The sequence below is a fragment of the Homo sapiens genome, chromosome 4 (assembly GCF_000001405.40).
Source record: "Homo sapiens chromosome 4, GRCh38.p14 Primary Assembly".
Taxonomy (NCBI): Eukaryota; Metazoa; Chordata; class Mammalia; order Primates; family Hominidae; genus Homo; species Homo sapiens.
The window spans coordinates 68073849-68091928 of NC_000004.12; the positions used below are offsets into that span (position 1 = coordinate 68073849).

The 18080-nt window shown below is 38.5% G+C and overlaps 1 protein-coding gene and 1 pseudogene across 4 annotated transcripts in view; both read right to left on the bottom strand.

Annotated features, from left to right (window-relative positions):
- Positions 1-18080, bottom strand: part of TMPRSS11F (transmembrane serine protease 11F) — a 76672-nt gene that overhangs the window by 20651 nt on the left and 37941 nt on the right. For 2 of the 4 annotated variants that reach the window (NM_207407.2, XM_011531935.2), the window contains exons 3-4: positions 16675-16793; positions 94-161 (exon numbers count right to left, since the gene is read on the bottom strand). In NM_207407.2, the coding sequence (NP_997290.2) occupies positions 94-161; positions 16675-16793 (187 nt within the window). Of the gene's footprint in view, positions 1-93; positions 162-611; positions 765-1346; positions 1507-16674; positions 16794-18080 lie in introns of those variants that run through there. The other 2 variants (XM_047415670.1, XM_047415669.1) reach the window with 2 other exon arrangements.
- On the bottom strand, positions 2473-4006 carry LOC100420693 (solute carrier family 47 member 2 pseudogene; annotated as a pseudogene).

Here is an 18080-nt window from a genome sequence, read left to right on the forward strand (position 1 = left end):
GTAAAGACTTGCTCAGGGCAGCTAAGCAATTAGGTTCATCAAATACCTCATCTTAACAGTATTAACTTGAAATTATAAACCAAATTTACATACCTTAATTTGATAACATGAGATTTGATAAATCGACCGCCTACAGAAGAATGTCGAAATATCCTAGACATCTGATTTTTAAAAAATAAGTATTAGTCTTCAGAACTTAAAAGTAAAATAAAAAAATAATTTTTTAAAAGAAGTATTAGTCTTAAGAAAAGTGTTATTCCTTGTCTTATCTAGAGACTTGGGCAAAAAAATAAAAATAAAAAAGATTTTCAGCTTATTCCCAGTCATGTTAATGGGTACACTGACAGTTGTAAGACTAAACCTGGGGTCTAATCTTTGTGGAACCAAATAACCACAACAAAATTGTTCAACTTTGCTAAGCCTCTGTAAAATGGGATAACAACAATATCTGCCTTATACAGTTGATTTGAGAATTAAGTGAAATTATGTCACATATTTTACACCTTGTCTGGTATCTACTAAGCTATTGATGATAGTTTTAAATACTGTCAAGTAAATTAAAAGTACATGCTATTTTTTAAGACAGCATCCCTATTTCTAAGAAAGCTTACCTTGTTTGCTGCACTCATCCCAAATATGGCATCTCATCCAGTATTGATAGAATTTGTTGATTTCTTAAATGATTATGTCATCACTAGACCATTTGACATGACTTGAAATGACTTCTGCCATGTGACTCTGACACCCTCACTTGTTAGTCATCTCTATGAGAGACAGGATTTCACAACTGGTACTATGCTTGGGAATAAGTTTCACCACACTCTTATACCATCAGCATTTCATTACTTAGCTTTCCCAGTCTAAGCCATTGGAAATTTTTCAGTATTCAGGAAACTGATTTCATAAAGGGTTCTGATTCCAGCTGGCTATTGAGGCACTGCCTTTTTGTCAAAAAAGCACTGGGCTAGCAGGGTGCAGTGGCTCACGCCTGTAATCCAAGCACTTTGGGAGGCCAAGGTGGATAGATTGCTTTAGCCCAGGAGTTCCAGATGAGCCTGGGCAACATGGCAAACTCCATTTCTACCAAAAATACAAAAATCAGCCAGAGTCATAATCTGGTCTCAAAATAAATAATAAATAGATTAAAAAATTTTTTTAAAAAGCACTGGGCTGAGAGTTATCAGTCGGAATAACAGGTCAATGTAAGTTTACATAAGATCTATTTCCATGGTAAATTTTGCCCCCAATTTCTACATCCTGTCAGAGTAGGGAAAGTCTCCCTCCCCACAAGATTCCTTCCTCTCCCTGACTCTTCTAATGTAGTAATAATGCCCAGTAGACTTTACCTCCTAAATGTTAAATCCACTTTCCTTGATTCAATCTCATTGCTATGGTCTCAAATCAGCTCCTTAGAAACTTGTATTTGGGCCTTTGCAGCAGCCTCCTCATGGCATGTTGATGTGGTTCTACCCTATCTTCTGTCCCCTCAGTTGTTCCCTCCGAATACTGCAACCAGGATGATATCTTTAAAATGCAAACCTGAGTATATTAGACCCTGCCTCAAGTTCAATATTTCCTTCAACACAATCTTACCCCTTCATTGGCCCCTACTTTGCCCCATCCCTACCTTCAAAGTCTCTCTCTCTGTCTGTCTCTCTCTCTCTCTTTCATTTTAAGGTGTTTATTTTGTAAAAGCTTGTATGGCAATATCCTAGACAGGACTTGAACAGGTACTTAATATATACTCAGTGACAAGATTAAGCACATTAAGAGAAATAAAAGAAAACTAGGTCACCAATAACAGTTTATAGGACAATGAACCATTTTCCTGGAAGAAGAAAGATATTCAACATAAGAAAGAATAGGCTGGGTGCGGTGGCTCACACCTGTAATCCCAGCACTCTGGGAGGCCAAGGCGGGTGGATCATGAGGTCAGGAGATCGAGACCATCCTGGCTAACAAGGTGACACCCCGTCTCTACTAAAAATACAAAAATTAGCTGGCCATGGTGGTAGGCGCCTGTAGTCCCAGCTACTCGGGAGGCTGAAGCAGAAGAATGGCCTGAACCTGGGAGGCGGAGCTTGCAGTGAGCCAAGATTAGGCCACTGCACTCCAGCCTGGGCAACAGAGTGAGACTCTGTCTCCAAAAAAAGAAAAAAAAAAAAGAATAAAGAACACTTACAGCAGGAAAAATCAAATTTACATACTTAGAAATTATGTTACAGTTAACAGACAAAAGTTTGCTTAAAGTTATACCTCCTTTCTTGATTTCCATTAAAATAACACAGTTTCTCAGAATAACCATGGAGACATCACCTTTCCACCCAGAGTTGAGAGTAAAACCACTGTCCAAATAACAAGGTCGCCTTCCATGCTTAATATAAGGCATATAATTACCATTTCTAGTTGAAGGCTGGTGATAATTTTTCTGCTTTAACTATAGTCATTGAAAACTGTTATTAAAATTCCTGCTAAAAGGATAGCAATAGCAACAGCTAAAGCTATTCCACAATAGAAAATCAACTGTCTCAATGTCAAAACATCCCCAACAGAGGGCACTGCATATTGGGTGTTTTCTTCCATTAGTTGTGTGATCTGGCACTCTGGTCTGACAATATCAGGCAAAATCACTCCATCGGTTACTTCTCTTTCTGGGATAGGTAGCTCTATTGGGGTAGCTATAGTCTCTTTGTACCCTTTTAGACTAGTTCAAACCTGTGCCTGCTCTGCAACTCTACTCTAGTTTATTCTCAAGATGTACACTAAAGAGAAAAGGTTTTGAAAGACACGCTCAATCCAGACCAGAGTCCTATTATCCCAAGTTTAGCAGCAAACATCAGAGATACTCCCATGGGAAAAGAAAAAAGGTTTTCCCATAACCAATGGCAGTCAAGATAGCACCAATCTTCCATTTTCCTGTGCCTCTCATGACTCCACCAAAGGTACCTGCAAGTGCATCAAATAGATGAAGACGAGCAAAAACAGGCATCACTTGGCTCACAAAGGGAAATAATATCGTTGTCAATGGTAAATACATAGGCAACCACACCCTTCAAAACAACAGTAAAACACTTGCTGCAAGTGTACACACACTGGCACACAGGAGAACAGTAAAGTGGGAACACCAAGCCTGCTCATGATTCCTTGTTCCCACAGCATTACCCACTCATACGCAGGCTGCCACACCAAAGCCAGGGGGCAACCATGTAGACTACAAAGGCCAGTTCACAGATGATGATGCCCTGAGCTTCCAGCTCTGTCACATTAATCAGTCCTGCAAGAAGGGTTCCAATTAAAACAGTCTGTCACTCAATATATACCATGAGCATACTGGGATAGCCAGCTGGATGTAGGAGCCCCACTCCTGGGAAAAGTCCCTAGTCCAACCTCCCCAAGTATTGATATGAATTTGTTTTTCCACCACATGTAGAGGAAAAGAAGTGCAGAAAGGAAGAACTGGGAAGTGATGTTGGCCCAGGCAGATTCTAACCCTCTAAGTTCCACAGTCTACAAGCAAGAGTGCATTAAGGCCCACATAGACTGCATTCTCTGTGATTCCAGTGATAACTTAAGGCAAGTTGATGCCCTGACTTTTGTAAATATCTCCTCTGCAGCCAGAACAGGAATGCTGCTGGAAGAGCAAGAATGAAAATCATCACATAAATTTGGGCCATCCTGGTGATGTCAGGATCCACTTAAGAGCAGGAAGATGCTGTCAGTATTGAGAAAGATGGCCCAGCAAGGAAAACAGCACAGCATCAAGATAAGGATTCCTCTTTGAAGTATGGTCCCCACACATTTTAGGTTCTTGCCTACAAAGGATTGGGACATTAGCTTGTCACAAGGGGAGGCTAATCCAGTTGTAACTGAAGTACCAGTACGATTCACAAGTGTAACACTACTCAACTTGACTGCCCAGATATCCACAGAATATGAGATGGATGATGCAAATAAGAAAGATCATCAACTGTGCAAGGAACACCAGGCTTTGAGCAAGGGCTGCCAGCTCCTGCAGCCTAGCACCTTAGGTAGTGGGCGGTGTGCCGGCAGACTCCACGCCATCCCAGATGGTAGCCAGGGCTCCATGCCATTGAGTGGAGAGGGTTCCGTGGCAGCCAGGATGAGCACGTTGGGAGATGGAAGACGGAAGCGGAGACAGGAGGCTGGGCTGACCTGCCCTGCCCTGCCCTGCCCACTAACAAACCCACTACAGGCACAGCCCTCCCAGGAAGCGGTGGATGGTCCCCTGGCCTTTGGCAACCCCCATCCCACCCTTACTCCCACCTGCTTAACTCTTTTGTAACCCCTCCCCTGATCCTGGTCCAGCTGGAGAGGGGCCAAAACCTCTTATCTACTGATTTAATTGCCTTTCCTAATCACAGTAGGCTGGTTCACACCTCTGTGACTGTGTACATTCATTTTCCTCTTCCTACAACTTTTTTCCCCCCTGGCAAATTTCTTCAATTACAACCTTACCTTACTTGAGAAACTCTAATGACAATTAAGTTAGCTCTAACTTGCCCTCCTCAAAGTTGAACACTCCTTTATTTGGGCCACCTTGTCATCTTGAATATGATTTTATTACATTAATAGCAATTATCACACTGGTTTACAATAGTGTCTCTCTCACTCTACACTATGAACTGTGGTAAGGCAGGGAGTGTGATTTATGTTTATATATCCAATGTTCCACACATTGTCTGGCCCACAGTAAACACACAAGCCATGTTTGACAAATAAATGAGTGAATGAATAACTGAATTAATGAATTAAGAATCAACAATATGGTAAAGGGAAGAAGATGGTAACACATTGTTTTATCTGCAAATTGTGTTGCCAAGTGAAAGTAGAAATCTGTGGTTATCTGCAGAAAGGTGGGACCCAGGAGGCCCCAGTAGTGACCTCACATATTTGGGTCATTCCTCAGGTTTGGATCAGTTCTGAGTCATGACACTTACAATTTCACTAAGCTTCTCTGAGCCCATTTTATTTCCATCACTCAGGGAACAGGGAGAAAAGGTGATTTTTGTATCTCTAGCACATCTGATTAATGTCCTTTGAAATTCTGAACTGTGTACATATGACACTTTGGGGAAGGATTAGGAGTCTTATTATATTAGAGTATAAGAAAATATCAAGATTCAATTCAAACTAAAATGTGATATTAACAAACCATAGTCCCCCAATGCATCAACCTCTATTTAAAAAATGGCATATTCTGGTATAGTACAATACTGGTGTGACCTTTACTAAAAGCTTACAAGTATTAATTCCATACTGCATGGCAGGCATTGGACTGATTCTTTTGTTTAAAACTCACACTACCTTAGGAGGAAAAGTATCATTCTCATCAGCTCCATTTGATAGATGAAGAAACTGAGACTCAGGATATATAATCTTGTCTAAGGTGGCACAGGAAGTGGTGGCTCTGTAATATGAACCCAGGGAAGCCATCTTTAGATCTTGTGTTAAGCGCATTAAGTGACTTTGACAACCTTGAATTAATTACATATTTGAAGCAGATGTTAAAGTTGGTGGGAGACAGGCAGGTAGGAAGGTCATGGTGAAAGAAACCCTTAAAGAAGCCCTCAAAGGCATCTTTTATTTCCTGAATATAAATCTCCTAAGAGATAATCTCTTCAGAGATTGTTTACTGCTTCTAAGTTTAACAGGGGTAGGGGAACTATTCCTCCTCAGATACCTAATGATTGTTATAACTAGTTTCTGGAAAGTTTAACTCATATTTACTTTTTTCTGTTGGAAACTCAGTAATATAATGCTTTTAATGTGATCCAAACTACAAAAACTAATTGTATCCTTTCCCTTTTTACAGTTCAAACCTAAGAATAGATCATTTTACTAGAGATTATTCTATATGAAACAAGATAGTGTGCTCATGGTAAAATGGGGGAAAAAACTTCACCCTAAAATCAGATACCAATTGTAGTCTTTGGTTTGAACTCCAGCATTAAAAAACAAAATAACATATTTGAAACAATACTTATGGCTCTAACTAATTAGCTTCATACCACCCAGGTACTGTTTTTGGCAAGTCTGAGCTCACATCTTTCCTTTGGTTGTGAACTAAATGCAGATTAAGTCCTCAAGGAAGATCAGTAGTTACTGTATGCCAGGTAGGGAATCCCTTTTGAGGTTCACCCATGAAAATAATCAGGCAGGTTATGCAAATTTCCTGTTACTGTCAAGGGAATATGTGCCAGCAGAGGGCAAAAACACCAACAAAACTGATTCTTTTCCTCTTTCCTCTCCAGGAAAGCTTCCTGCTGACTCAAAAGGATTTTTCTTCTTCTGAACTCCTATTATGGGAATGGATGAAATCACTTACAGAGCCACAGAAGGAAACAAAGCAAAGCCAGGATCATGAGTTGGATTATCTGGAGGCCTAGGCCAATGGGGAGTTATTGCTTGCAGTCACTGATCAAGCAAATAAACTTTTCCTTCTTTCTTATGAAATTTATTTAAGAAGCTGAAATTACTTAAATGATAATGAGTTGTGAGAAAAGAATTGTAGTAGATATTTGTTCTCTATCCAAATTGCACTGAGTGGGGAGGTGTACCCATACCCCAGCTTCGAGAATTGACTGATAACAGTTCACACCTGCACTTCTCCAGAGAATTGTCCTTGTCTGACCTGAGCACCTTGTTTAGTAATGTCTGGTAGGCTATGCTCCACCTTCCCTGGGCAGATCCACTGGTCTAAGACAAACAACCCAACCCTCTAATTTCTGGGAAGAATCACCTCCGTGATTAATCTAAGCTCCAGATCTCCCAGAGAAATCATGCTGAGGCTACATTTGTGAAACTACATTTTTATCTAGCTTCTTCCTTTGCCCTTTCCTGCTGTCCTCACTTCCTTATGAATTTTTTTCTGAAAGATCTTGATTAATAAATTATTTAATCAAGATCCCCCAGTCATAAGTTCTGTGTTTTGGAATATAACCTATACAAAAATAAATTAATTGGTACTAGATAATGCTCCGCTATGCATCTATTTCAATGTCTATTCTTTGGAAGTTCTGTCATCACACATCCCCAAGTTTTAGATAAGGTTTTTAGCTAACAGCCAGGAAAAGATTCAATAAACTTAAAAGAAAAAGTGTTTTTAAATGTAATATTTTTTGTCTCTAAAGAAGTTTTTGTATTGCAAATGTTAATCTCTTAAAATAGAGGGGAACGAAGAATGAAAAAAGAAATATTTTTAAGATGTCCTTTTAAAACATAGTCCCTCAAGCTAGTTGTTGTAGTTTTAGAATATAAAGAGCCCAGTAAAGATGGTTTCAGTGAGAAGCTATTATTAAGAAATGAGACTAGAAAGTTTTGGAGTCAATATCTGTAGCCTTTTGATACTGAAAATTCTGCATAGTGGATGGGAGTCATGAGAATTTTCCAGTCTTTATTTTGGAAATCTCTTACCTATCCAACTATAATAACTGTCATGTCATTTATAGTATTATCTTTTTGGATTGTCCTGAGCATTCAGTTCCAAAGTGAAGTCAATGTATCATAGAACATATGGAAAAATTCCAGAACTCATGTTTATATTTATTTTTATCTAAACAAACAATTTTTTACAGCATTGGCTTTGAGGTGTGGAATCTTAGCAGAAGTACATTAATTACTGGATGCTCCCAAGGGGAAAATGGAGACCAGTCTGTTAGAAAGATTGCTTGTCCTAGGATATGTACTTGATAAAGTATTCCTGCATTCCATTTAGTTAAGTAGTGATACTTCACACATTAATTTTAAGTAATTAATATTAATTTAATCACACGAGCAAGTCTCAGTATGTAAACAATTAGTATCTTGTTTTAATTACCAGACTAGTCATTTTTTTTAACTTTGGCAAAAACGATGGAGTACTGTCAAAATATAAATCCAGTTTTTAAACAAAACAGTTCCACACAAACTCTACCACACGTATGGCTTTCATATGGCTTTTGGGCATAGAAAGATGGTAGAGACAGACAATCTTCAACATTTTTGCTGAAGAACCATGATTTAAAGTATTAATATATCATTAAAGTGGATATGTTTCACTCACCTCCTCTCTTTGCCACCAATGAAAAATAACTGAGAACTTGTTGGGGGAGTGGCAAGACGGCTGCCCAGATACAGCCAGAAAGGAACTTTCCCACTGAGAGAGACCAAAATATTGAGTAAGCCAACATACATCAAACAGATCTCTGGGAGAGAAAACACTCAGAGTTGATAGAGAGGCAATGCAGACACAGAGGCTGAAGATGAGGAAGCTGGCAACCCTATGTGGTCTTGCTGGATGTTAGGACTAGCTCCCGGCCCTGAATAGCAACTAGGGAAGGGGTGAATGAAGTGACTGTGAGGCAATTCACTCTTGCTGGGGATCTCTAGGATCATACCTACAAGAGATCCCACAACCCCCATAGATACTTGAATTGGCAGGGGGATCTGCCTCGAGAGTAGGCAGAGAGAGCTCCTGCCTGCATGGACCCCAGAGGGTTTTGCACGTGAGGCAGCTACAGCAAAACATGGCCACAGGAACCCATCCTCCAAGGCTCTCCCCCTTCCTCCAAATAGCTCTGACCTCTGCTGACCGCAGGGCCAGGAGAGAGCAGTGCTGCCTTTCTCATGAGACTAAGGTGTGTCTCTTCTGTACAGCTGGCTGTCCACCAGCCCCTCCCAAGGATGCTACCTGGCTGCTCCCACAAGAACATGCACACAGCAGAGCTTCCACTGCCCAGTATGAGTGCTTTACTGGTTTGCGAGCATATCTGCTCCCCAAGCAGAACCAGTCTCCAACCCCATGAGGCCAGAAGATAAAGCTGCAGGCTCAATCTCAACCCCGTTGGGTTAGAGCACATAGTTCAGGAGTGCCAAGCTGAGATCTGTGGCTGGTGCTGCAGCAGGGGAAGAGCCCCCACTCTCAGAACACTGAGAAGAGTGAGACATGGATTGATGGGCTGGTACAGAAGCTGGTGTGCCTCCCTCTACAGGGATAATCCAGAAAGAGTGTGGCCTGTCTGACAGCCACTGCCTCTGCCCAAAGAAGCACCACAGCTCTGGACACCTAACAGCCCAGTGATCTGGGTACAGAAGGCTTGGGACAAAACCAGCTGGTTGGGCCAGATACTCAGGAAGCAAACAGAAGGAAACTTGGGTGAGGGAGAACAAGCTGGGCAGGCCCCACAGCTATCTGATGGGCAAAAAAACTGTGAGCCACGAGCACCACATAAGCTGCATACCCATGACAACACCACCCTGCCCAGAGACCCCTCACCCTTGACAGTAGGTCAAAGCATCAACAGACCACCTTCAGATATACCCCACAACCTGCTCTGACTCCATTAAGCTTCCACAACATTGCAGGTCTCTTGGCAACCTAATCTTTAGCTTGGACTGTCACTAGTAGAGGCAGAAAGCCTACCTGGGCACCCCTTGAGGCTAAAGAAATGAGGGCATGGTGCCAGTGATTAAAGGGGGCCCCCTAAGGCACAGGGATGGACCTGGTAAGAGCATCATCTCTCTTCAACGCCACAACCACAGAGCACTGTTGCAAACACACTGAAATACACAAGAGCAGGGCAGCTAACAGCCTATCTGCCAGTCATTACTCTTAAGCACCATCTACTGGATCACAGTCTTAATTATAACACCAACAAAATTCTTCCAAAACACATGCTTATGAAACCCATGCAAGAATCTAGCCACAAATAAAAACCAGTACAGAACTTTGGCCCTCTGAAAGCACCAAGAAATGAAGACAACAGACTATACTCAACTTATACAACAGCCAAAATGTCAAGGGAAATAAATAATAATAATAAAAAAAGCCCCATTCAAACGACAGCAAATTCAAAAAGATAAAGGAACATGAGACCTCTCATATGAAAAAGAATAGGTGCAAGAACTCTGGCAATTCAAAAAGTCAGACTGTCTCCTTGCCTGCAAACAATCACCCTACCTCCCCAGCAATGTTTCTTAACCAGACTGAAAAGACTGAAACTACAGATATAGAATGTAGAATCCGGATAGCAAGGATACTCATTGAGATGCAGGAGAAAGTTGAAATCCAATCCAATGAGTCCAGTAATATGATCCAAGAGGTGAAAGATGACATAGCCACTTTAAGAAAGGACTAAACTAAACTCCTAAAATTGAAAAATTTACTACAGGAATTTTATAATACAGTTGGAACAACAGAATAGACCAAGCTGAGGAAAGAATCTCAGAGCTCGAAGACCAGTTCTTTGAATCAACTTAGGCAAAAATAAAGAAAAAAGAAATTTTAAAAAAGAACGAAACCTCCAAGAAACATGAGATTATGTAAAGAGACCAAACCTATGATCCACTGGCATTCCAGATATACAAGAAGAGAGAGGAACAACTTGCAAAACATATTTAAGCATAGGATCCACAAAAATCTCCCCAATCTCACTAGAGAAGTTGACATGCAAATTCAAGAAATGCAAAGAACTCCTACAAGAGGCAATATAAGACAACAATCCTCAAGGCATACAGTCGTCAGATTCACCAAGGTCGCTGCAAAAGAAAAAAAAATCTTAAAGTTAGCTACAGAGACGGGTCAGGTCACTTATAAGTGGAACCTAATCAGGCCATCTCAGCAGAAACCTTATAAGCCAGAAGAGGCTGGGGACATATTTTCAGCATCCTTAAAGAAAAGAAATTCCTACCAAGAACTTCATTCCCTGCCAAACTAAGCTTCATAAGTAAAGGAGAAATAAAATCATTTTCAGATATGCAAAAGCTAAGAGAATTCGTTACCACTATCGGCCTTACAAGAGGTCCTTAAGAGAATGCTAAATGTCAAAATGAAGGAACAATACCAGCTACCACAGAAACACATTTATTTATTTATTTATTTTTTTATGTTCTTTTTTTTTATTATACTTTAAGTTTTAGGGTACATGTGCACATTGTGCAGGTTAGTTACATATGTATACATGTGCCATGCTGGTGCGCTGCACCCACTAACTCGTCATCTAGCATTAGGTATATCTCCCAATGCTATCCCTCCCCCCTCCCCCCACCCCACCACAGTCCCCAGAGTGTGATATTCCCCTTCCTGTGTCCATGTGATCTCATCGTTCAATTCCCACCTATGAGTGAGAATATGCGGTGTTTGGTTTTTTGTTCTTGCGATAGTTTACTGAGAATGATGATTTCCAATTTCATCCATGTCCCTACAAAGGACATGAACTCATCATTTTTTATGGCTGCATAGTATTCCATGGTGTATATGTGCCACATTTTCTTAATCCAGTCTATCATTGTTGGACATTTGGATTGGTTCCAAGTCTTTGCTATTGTGAATAATGCCGCAATAAACATACGTGTGCATGTGTCTTTATAGCAGCATGATTTATAGTCATTTGGGTATATACCCAGTAATGGGATGGCTGGGTCAAATGGTATCTCTAGTTCTAGATCCCTGAGGAATCGCCACACTGACTTCCACAATGGTTGAACTAGTTTACAGTCCCACCAACAGTGTAAAAGTGTTCCTATTTCTCCACATCCTCTCCAGCACCTGTTGTTTCCTGACTTTGTAATGATTGCCATTCTAACTGGTGTGAGATGGTATCTCATAGTGGTTTTGATTTGCATTTAAACACATTTAAGTACGTAGCCCACAGACATCATAAAGCCACTATACAATCATCTACAAAACAATCAGCTAACATGACAGGAACAAAATATCATATATCAACACTAACTTAAATGTCAATGGTCTAAATGTCCCATTTAAAAGGCATACAGTGGCAAGTTGGATAAAAACACAAGATTCTACAATCTGCTGCCTTCAAAAGAACCATCTCACATGTAATGACACCCATAGGCTCAAAGTAAAGGGTTGGAGAAAGATCCGTCATGCAAACAGAAAACAAAAAGCAGCAAGAACGGTAAAGAAGGAAAAACAAGGCCATTACATAATGATAAAAGGATCAATTCAACAAGAAGACTCAGCCATCCAAAATATATATGCACCCAACATTGGAGCACTCAGATTCATAAAACAAGTTCTTCTAGACCTATGAAGACTTGGACAGCTACACAATTATGGTGGGAAACATCAACAGTCCCACTGATAACATTACACAGATCATTGAGGCACAAAACTAACACAGAAATTGTGGACAAAAACTTGACACTTGACCAACTGGACCTAACAAACACCTACAGAATACTACACCCAACAACCATAGAATATATATTTGTCTCATCTGCATGTGGAATATACTACAAGATAAATCAAGTATTTGCCCATAAAGCAAGCCTGAATAAATTAAAAAAAAATCACAGCAAGCACACTCTCATACCACAGTGCAATAACAATAGAAATCATTACCAAGAAGATATCTCAAAACCACACAACTACATGGAAATTAAGTAACTTGCTCCTGAATTACCTTTGGGTAAACAACAAATTTAAGGCAAAAATCAAATATTTCTTTGAAATTAGGGACAGTAAAGGCACAAGACATCAACATCTTTGGGGTGCAGCTAAAGCAGTGTTAAGAGGAACGTCTATAGCACTAAACAAATACACCAATAAGTTAGAAAGATCTAAAATTAGCAATCTAACAATGCACATAGAGAAACTAGAAAAACAACAACAAACCAACACCAAAGCTAGCAAAATAAAAGACAATTAAAATCAGAGCAGAACAAAACTAAATTGAGACACAAAAATCTGTTAAAAAAAGATCAACAAAACCAAATTTTTGGTTTATTGAAAGAATAAACAAGACTGATAGCTACCTAAATTAGAAAAAGAGAGAGACAATCCGTATAAATACAATCAGAAATGACAAAGTTGACATTACAACCAATCCCACAGAAATACAATCCCACAGAAATACTCAGTCTATTATGAACACCCCTATGCATGTAAATTAGAAAACCCAGAGGAAATAGATAAATTATTGGTAACATATAACCTCCATGAATGAACCAAGTAGAAATTGAAAACCTGAACAGACCAATAATGAGTTCTGAAACTAAATCAGTAACAAAAAACCTACAAACAAACAAAATCCCTGGACCAGATGAATTCACAGCCAAATTCTACCAGACATACACAGAAAAATGGGTACCAATCCTACTGAAATTATTCCCAAAAAATCAGGAAGAAAGCAGTCCTCCCTAATTCATTCAACAAAGCTAGCATCATCCTGATACCAAAATTTGACAAAGATACGTGAAAAAAGAAAATATCAGGCCAATACTCCTTATAAACATAGATGCAAACATCCTCAACCAAATACCAGCAAACCAAATCTAGCTGCACGAAAAGTTAATTTGCCACAATCAAGTAGGCTTTATTCCTGGGATGCAAGTGGCTCAACATACATAAATCAATAAATGTGATTCACCATATGAACAGAATTAAAAACAGAATGATCATCCCAATAGATGCAGAAAAAGCTTTTGATAAAATCCAACATCCCTTCATGATAAAAACCCTCAATAAACTAGGCATTGAAGGAACATATGTCAAAATAATAAGAGCTATCTATGACAAACCCACAGCCAACATCACACTGAATGGGCAAAAGCTGGAACCATTCCCCTTGAGAACTGGTACAAAACAAGGATGCCACTCTCTCCACTCCTATTCAACATAGTACTAGAAGTCCTACACAGAGTAATGAGGCAAGAGAAAAAAGTAAAAGGCATCCAAATAGAAAAAGAAGTAGTTAAATAATCTATCTTCACAAATGATACAATTCTATGTATAGAAACAAAGACTTCACAAAAAAAGCTCCCAGAATCGATAAACTTCATTAAAGTTTCAGGATACAAAAAATCAACATAAAACAATTAGTAGCATTTTATTTATTTATTTATTTATTTATTTATTTATTATTATACTTTAAGTTTTAGGGTACATATGCACAATGTGCAGGTTAGTTACATATGTATACATGTGCCATGCTGGTGTGCTGCACCCACTAACTCATCATCTAGCATTAGGTATATCTCCCAGTGCTATCCCTCCCCCCTCCCCCCACCCCACAACAGTCCTCAGAGTGTGATGTTCCCCTTCCTGTGTCCATGTGTTCTCATTGTTCAGTTCCCACCTATGAGTGAGAATATGTGGTGTTTGGTTTTTTGTTCTTGCGATAGTTTACTGAGAATGATGATTTCCAATTTCATCCATGTCCCTACAAAGGACATGAACTCAGCATTTCTTATGGCTGCTTAGTATTCCATGGTGTATATAGACTGGCAGATTGGATAAAGAGTCAAGACCCATCAGTGTGATGTATTCAGGAAACCCATCTCATGTGCAGAGACACACATAGGCACAAAATAAAAGGATGGAGGAAGATCTACCAAGCAAATGGAAAACAAAAAAAGGCAGGGTTTGCAATCCTAGTCTCTGATAAAACAGACTTTAAACCAACAAAGATCAAAAGAGACAAAGAAGGCCATTACATAATGGTAAAGGGATCAATTCAACAAGAGGAGCTAACTATCCTAAATATATATGCACCCAATACAGGAGCACCCAGATTCATAAAGCAAGTCCTGAGTGACCTACAAAGAGACTTAGACTCCCACACATTAATAATGGGAGACTTTAACACCCCACTGTCAACATTAGACAGATCAACGAGACAGAAAGTCAACAAGGATACCCAGGAATTGAACTCAGCTCTGCACCAAGCGGACCTAACAGACATCTACAGAACTCTCCATCCCAAATCAACAGAATATACATTTTTTTCAGCACCACACCACACCTATTCCAAAATTGACCACATACTTGGAAGTAAAGCTCTCCTCAGGAAATGTAAAATAACAGAAATTATAACAAACTATCTCTCAGCCCACAGTGCAATCAAACTAGAACTCGGGATTAAAATTAGTAGCATTTTAAAACACCAATAATGTTCAAGCTGACAGCAATATCAAGATGCAATCCCATTTACAATAGCCACAAAAAGAATAAAATACCTAGGAATATATCTAATCGAAGAGGTAAATGATCCCTACAAGGAGAACTACGAAACACTGCTGAAAGAAATCAGAGACAAAACAAACGTTGTCTCATGGACATGATCATGGATTGGAAGAATCAACACCATTAAGATGACCATACTGCCCAAAGCAGTTTAGAGATTTAACACTATTTCTATCAAAGTACCAAGATCACTTTTTACAGAATTAGAAAAAAAAAAACTATTCTGAAACTTACACGGAACCAAAAAAGGGTCCAAATCACCAAAGCAATCCTAAGCAAAAAGAAAAATGGCAGAGGCATCACATTACATGAACTTTTAGGGAAATGATTTTCGATTTAAAGTTGTGCATCCAAACTTTCAACTGAGTGAAATATAGAATACAGGATTTTTTCAGTATGAAATAATTCATAAATTTTACATCCCATGAACTTTTTCTTAGTAAAGGTACTTGAGGGCATATCTTACTATATCAATGAAAACAGGGATGCAAGAAGCAATGGATCTCACAAAAGGGTGCAGTCCTGTCCTGGTTAGGTTTACCTTTGTAAAGTGGACCTACAGCGCAACTAGTTGAAATTGAACAGGAAACATAAAGTTTTAGAAAAGAAGATTTAAAGAAATATCAAGACCTTGGAAATGTCTGATAATACAGTAAAATGGTAGAGGTGTTACACACACATGAAAGAGAGAGAAAATATATTCATACTTAATTCCAGGAACATTATTTGAATGGCATAAGAACTGTGGTAATAATTGTAAAAAACAAAAACGCTATTTGAATAGCCATGGAAATGGAAATGCTCTTATTGCTTTTCAACATTTAGAATCAACTTATGTAAATAACAGGATAAATTGTAAATATTTTCTCACATTGTGAATAATACAGAGAAAGGATAGTACAGTGAGGGAGAATGGGAATGCTAAAGTTCTCCTATTTTATTAAAGGAGATCAGTGTCTAAAGCTAATCATAAAGAATCATATTAACATAGTGCTCTATTTGGCCATTAATTCTTGGTTCTAGAATAACTCTTATAAGTTTAAAAGACTACAATCCAAGCTAATATACTGAATTTTGCTAAACAAATCTATGATCTCCATAGCCATGCTTTTCATGGGACAAAAAATGGAAGACTATTCTCTTTGCCTTTCTGCTATGACAGTTAAGGAGATGGCTCACCCAATATACTTAAAAAATTACAAATAACTTGATAAATACATAAGCTATTTAAAAAGCAAAATATGTAAGTCATAACTAGATCTAAGATTAATATCAAGAATTATAGCTATACCACGTCCTTTTATATAATCTTTTTAAGTGCTGTCAAAATAAACAAACCGGTAAGCTGATTGTGGCAACTCTATATTCTTATGTTAAAAAAGAATAAAGAAAATGAATCGAAAACGATAAAATCAAGAGTTAAAAATAGAGAAACATTTGTTTCAACCAACAATTTCTCAGGAGTTAGTTGCCTACTCTAATCTACTATATACATTTGATGGTGCACACAGTATACTGAATATTTTATACATATTAAGTAATTTAATCCTCACAACTGTATGACTTACATACTATAGTATCTCCATTATGCAAAAGAAGAAATTGAGACTAAGTTCCTATATAACACCCACATTCAAAGTGATGCAAAAGACACATTAATAAACATTTAAAATTTCTGTTGAGCTTACCATTCTTTCAATCTGATGACTCCTTTCTATAAACTCTCTTGAAGATCTTATGCCATAATTTTCTTTATATTTGATATTTGTGACTTTAAAAGAGGCAAGGTAATAGAAAGACTTATCATCTGAAAGGTAAAACAAACAAAAGTCTCATGGTTAAAGGTAATAAGTTGTTTTGTCCCCTACGTCTTGCCCACACCTGCTAAATAGGCTACAATAATGCAGTTTATTTCTACTTAGTGTAAAAATTCTTGAAGACACTTCTCAAATACTCTGTAATTTCACCACTGCTGCTGGTTAAAATAAAAAATTCTGATCCCAAAGTACTCATACATAACACTCCATTATAGATATTTATGCATATCAAAATATTCATAAAATTGGACATGCAACATACAGTGGAAAGATAATATCGAAAGCAATTGCTGAAAGTCATGTAAATGTCATCAGTTCCCTCAAAGAATTGCTAACAGGTATATCAGATATAAGCTGTATTATGAAGATACACTGAACAAGCTGTCAAATTTTTTTATGCTACTGCTAAGCTTACTTAAGTAGAAGTCCATATTTATTGTTTTCACCTTCTTTTTTTCCCATTCACTCCCTAATTCTCTGCAATCTGTTCCTAACACACCACTAAAGCTGTCTTTTTCAAGGACAACCATTGTAATGTCTTTCATGGTTTTGTTTGTTTGTTTTACTCCTTGATTTCCTTGTAGCCTTCATCATGTTCCCTGAAAACCTATCTTTGGTTTTATGAAGCCATCTTCTAGTTTTCTTCCACCTCCCTGGCCATACGTCGCAGTCACCTTGGTGAGCTCTTTATTTCCACCCTTCTCCTTGGCATTCAAAGATTCTATCTTTGACCTGGTCATATTAAGTACTTTTTGGTAATCTTAACTGGGATGGCCTTACCCACTAACTATTTATTGATGACTCCTAAATTCTTTATCTTTAGACCAAACCTTTGTCATGAGTTTCAATTCTACATCAACTGACTTCAGAAGACTGCTTATTGCACATTAAATAGGCACCTCTAATATATTTCCAAAGTGAAATAATCATTTACTCCCTTATTTACTTAAACCTGCTCCACTTCCTATATTTTCTATCTTTGTGAACAGCCCTAATATCCACATGGTCACCCAAGGCTTGGTTTCATCCTCATTTCCAATATCCAATTAATTTTTCAGTCTTTAAATCCTGTAACTATAACCCATTTAATCTCTAATCTCTCTCTCTCTCTCTCTCTCTCTCTCTCTCTCTCTATCTATCTATCTATCTTTTTGAGATGGAGTCTCACTCTGTTGCCCAGGCTGGAGTGCAGTGACACTATTCCAGCTCACTGCAACCTCCACCTCCTAGGTTCAAGTGATTCTCTTGACTCAGCTTCCTGAGTAGCTGGGATTACA